This window comes from Homo sapiens, chromosome 18 (assembly GCF_000001405.40).
Source record: "Homo sapiens chromosome 18, GRCh38.p14 Primary Assembly".
In the NCBI taxonomy this organism is placed as follows: domain Eukaryota; kingdom Metazoa; phylum Chordata; class Mammalia; order Primates; family Hominidae; genus Homo; species Homo sapiens.
Genome location: NC_000018.10, coordinates 31,961,263 through 31,965,235, shown reverse-complemented (window position 1 = coordinate 31,965,235; position 3,973 = coordinate 31,961,263). Strand labels below are relative to the sequence as shown.

At 48.8% G+C, this 3,973-nt stretch overlaps 1 pseudogene; it reads right to left on the bottom strand.

Annotated features, from left to right (window-relative positions):
* Positions 1,520 to 3,107, bottom strand: PGDP1 (phosphogluconate dehydrogenase pseudogene 1; annotated as a pseudogene).

The following is a 3,973-nucleotide window of genomic DNA, read 5'->3' as shown; positions in this document are numbered from 1 at the left end:
CAATTCTCCTGCCTCAGCCTCCTGAGAGTAAGCTGGGATTACAGGCATGTGCCACCATGCCTGGTTAATTTTTTTTTTTTTTTTTTTGAGACAGAGTTTTGCTCTTGTTGCCCAGGCTGGAGTGCAATCGTGCAATCTCAGCTCACTGCAACCTCTGCCTCCTGGGTTCAAGCAATTCTCCTGCCTCAGCCTCCCAAGTAGCTGGGATTACAGGCATGTGCCACCACTCCTGGCTAATTTTGTATTTTCAGTAGATGGGGTTTCTCCATGTTGGTCAGGCTGGTCTCAAACTCCCAATCTCGGGTGATCCCCCCGCCTTGGCCTCCTAAAGTGCTGGGATTACAGGTGTGAACCACCACGCCTGGCCTTATTTTTTTGAGACGGAGACTCAATCTGTTGCCCAGCCTGGAGTGCAGTGGTGCAATCTCGGCTCACTTGCAACCTCCGCATCCCAGGTTCAAGTGATTCTCCTGCCTCAGCCTCCCAAGTAGCTGGGACTACAGGTGCCCGCCACACGTCCAGCTAATTTTTGTATTTTTAGTAGACATGGGGTTTCACCATATTGGCCAGGCTGGTCTCGAACTCCTGACCTTGTGTTCTGTCCATGTTGGCCTCCCAAAGTGCCGGGATTACAGGCGTGAGCCACCACGTCCAGGCTAATTTTTGTGTTTTTTAGTAGAGACAGGGTTTCACCATGTTGGCCAGGCTGGTCTGAAACTCCTGACCTCAAGTGATCCGCCCACCTTGGTCTCCCAAAGTGCTGGGATTACAGGTGTGAGCCACCACACCTGGCCTTTTTTGTTTTATTTTTAAATTTACTTATTTTTGAAACTAGAGGATCAGCAATAAAAGTGGATAAAGAAAGAACTAAATTATCCAAACTACCTCAATTGGCTACCCAGGGAGAATCACTGTTGATCTTTCTTTCTTTCTTTATTATCAGTCTGATGTAGCTTTTATTGAGTAAAGGAAAAAGGGAATTCAGCCGCATGATACAGAGGTTCCAATTGATCAGAGTGCACAAAGACCCTTCCCGTCTGCGTGATGGGAACCACACCAGCACATGGGGCATGCGGAAGCCACTGCTGCAAGGAGGTGGTTCCCACTCTCACACACATGAACAGCTCCTGGTCAGTCCCAAGAGGCAAGGGCAGAGGGCACAGCAGCTCTTACAGAGCTACTTTACAAATAAACTGTGTGCCTTCCTCTGGAGTCTCTTACAACACTTTTTAAAAAGATCTGGGCCAGGGGTGGCTCATGCCTGTAATCCCAGAACTTTGGGAGACCGAGGCGGGAGGATCATGATGTCAGGAGATCGAGACCATCCTGGCTAACATGGTGAAACCCCGTCTCTACTAAAAATACAAAAAATTAGCTGGGTGTGGTGGCGGGCGCCTGTACTCCCAGCTACTCGGGAGGCTGAGGCAGGAGAATGGCATGAACCCGGGAGGCGGAGCTTGCAGTGAGCCAAGATCGCGCCACTGTACTCCAGCCTGGGCGACAGAGTGAGACTCCGTCTCAAAAAAAAAAAGGGCCAGCTGGCAGTGCCATGAGGCTCATGGAATGTCCTGGTCTGTGGAATCGTGGAGGGTGACAGGAGCAGCATCATCATCATCAGGCATTGTATGACGAGGATGATACACTGCCACCGTGGCCTGTCCAGTTGGTGTGGATAAACTGCCCTGGTTTGGCCAAGAGTTCATAGGTGTGAGCCCCAAAGGAATCCCGCTGAGCCTGGATGAGGTTGGCTGGAAGCATCTCGTGTCTGTACTTGTCATAGAAGGAGAGGGCAGTGACAAAACAGGGCATGGGAATGCCAGCCTGGACCCCAGTGCTGACTGCCCACCACCAAGAGTCCTAGTGGTTTTCAACAGCTGACTTAAGAAGTCGTCCAGTAGGAGGTTCTGAGGTTCTGGGTTTCGATCAAACGCATCCTTTATCTTTCCTAGGAATACACTTCTAATAATGCAGCCCCCTCTCCACATCAGGGCAATATCACCATAATTGAGGGTCCAGCCAAACTCGGTGGCTCCCTGCCTTAGCAGCATAAAGCCTTGAGCATAAGAGATGATCTTGGAAGCATAGAGGGACATTCTGAATATCCTCCAGGAATGATTTCTTATCACCATCAAACTGGAACTTTTGGGGACCCTTCAGCTTTTTGCTAGCTTGAATTCTCCCATCCTTCAGAGATGACAGGCACCAAGCAAAGACGGCTTCTCCAATGAGGGTGACGGGTATGCCATACTCCAGGGCAGAGATGGTGGTCCACTTCCCCATGCCCTTCTGCCCTGCACTGTCCCTGATCTTTGGCAGCAAGTGTTTGCCATCAGCACCTTGGAACTTGAGAATATTGGCTGTGATTTCAATCAGGAATGAGTCTAGCTCTGTCTTATTCCAATCCTCAAAGGCCTGGGCCATCTTGTCCTGTGCCATGCCCAGCACGTCTTTCATCAGGTGGTATGCCTCACAGATCAGCTGCATGTCCCCATACTCTATCCTGTTGTGCGCCATCTTCACAAAGTGGCCTGCTCCCTCATCTCCCACTCAGTCACAGCAGGGTTCCTACTTTTGCAGCAACACCTTGGAAGATGGTCTTGATGTGGGGCCATGCTTCTTTGTTCCCTCCTGGCGTGAGCAATGAACCATACCAGGCCCCTTCCTCTCCACCACTGACTCCGCTCCCCACAAATAAAATTCCCTTGGCCTTGAGGTCTTGGCACCGTCTTGTGGTGTCCCTATATTCAGAATTTCCTCCATCAATGATGATGTCACCAATGTCCAACAATGGTATCAGTTTTTTGATGAAATAATCCACAGCTTGCCCAGCCTTCACCAGGAGGATGATCCGCTGGGGCTTCTTCAGCTTGGAGACCATCTCTTTCAGGGACTGGGCACCCACCACTTTGGTTCCCTTTGCCTCATTGGCCAAGAAATCATCCACTTCGGAGACAGTCCTATTAAAAGCACAGACCACAAAGCCATGGTCTTTCATGGTCAGAATTAAGTTCTGGCCCATGACTGCCAATCTGATCAGCACGATGTCAGCTTGGGCCATGGCAGTGGACAGAGTAGAACCGAAGAGCGGCGAGGCATGGAGGAAGAGTCTGATCTTTAAAACTGATAATAGGAAGTGCTGTGAAGGCATTTTACCCAAAAATAAGAACCCTAGGCCGAGTGTGATGACTCATGCCTGTAATTCCAGCACGATGGGAGGCTGAGGTGGGAGGAGTGCTTGAACCCAGAGGTTTGAGACCAGGCCACACAACATAAGGAGACCCTGTGTCTCAAAAAAAAAAAAAAAAAAGAAAAGAAAAGAAAAAAAAGAAAGAAAGAAGAAAAATTAGCTGGGTATGGTGGTGCCTGTGTAGTTCCAGCTACTTGGGAGGGTAAGGTGGATAAGGTGGGAGGATCACTTGAGCCTGGGAAGTTTAGGCTGCAATAAGCTGTGATTGTGCCACTGCACTGCAGGCTGGGTGGCAGAGCGAGACCCTGTTTCAAAAAAAAAAAAAAAGAACCCTAGCTCCTGTCATTTCATGTGATAGCATAACTTCTATCTAAATTCAGCTTTTATATATATATTTTTTTAATTTTTATTTTTATTGATCATTCTTGGGTGTTTCTCACAGAGAGGGATTTGGCAGGGTCATAGGACAATAGCGGAGGGAAGGTCAGCAGATAAACAAGTGAACAAAGGTCTCTGGTTTTCCTAGGCAGAGGACCCTGAGGCCTTCCACAGTGTTTGTGTCCCTGGGTACTTGAGATTAGGGAGTGGTGATGACTCTTAATGAGCATGCTGCCTTCAAGCATCTGTTTAACAAAACACATCTTGCACTGCCCTTAATCCATTTAACCCTGAGTGGACACAGCACATGTTTCAGAGAGCACAGGGTTCGGGGGTAAGGTCACAGATCAACAGGATCCCAAGGCAGAAGAATTTTTCTTAGTACAGAACAAAATGAAAAGTCTCCCA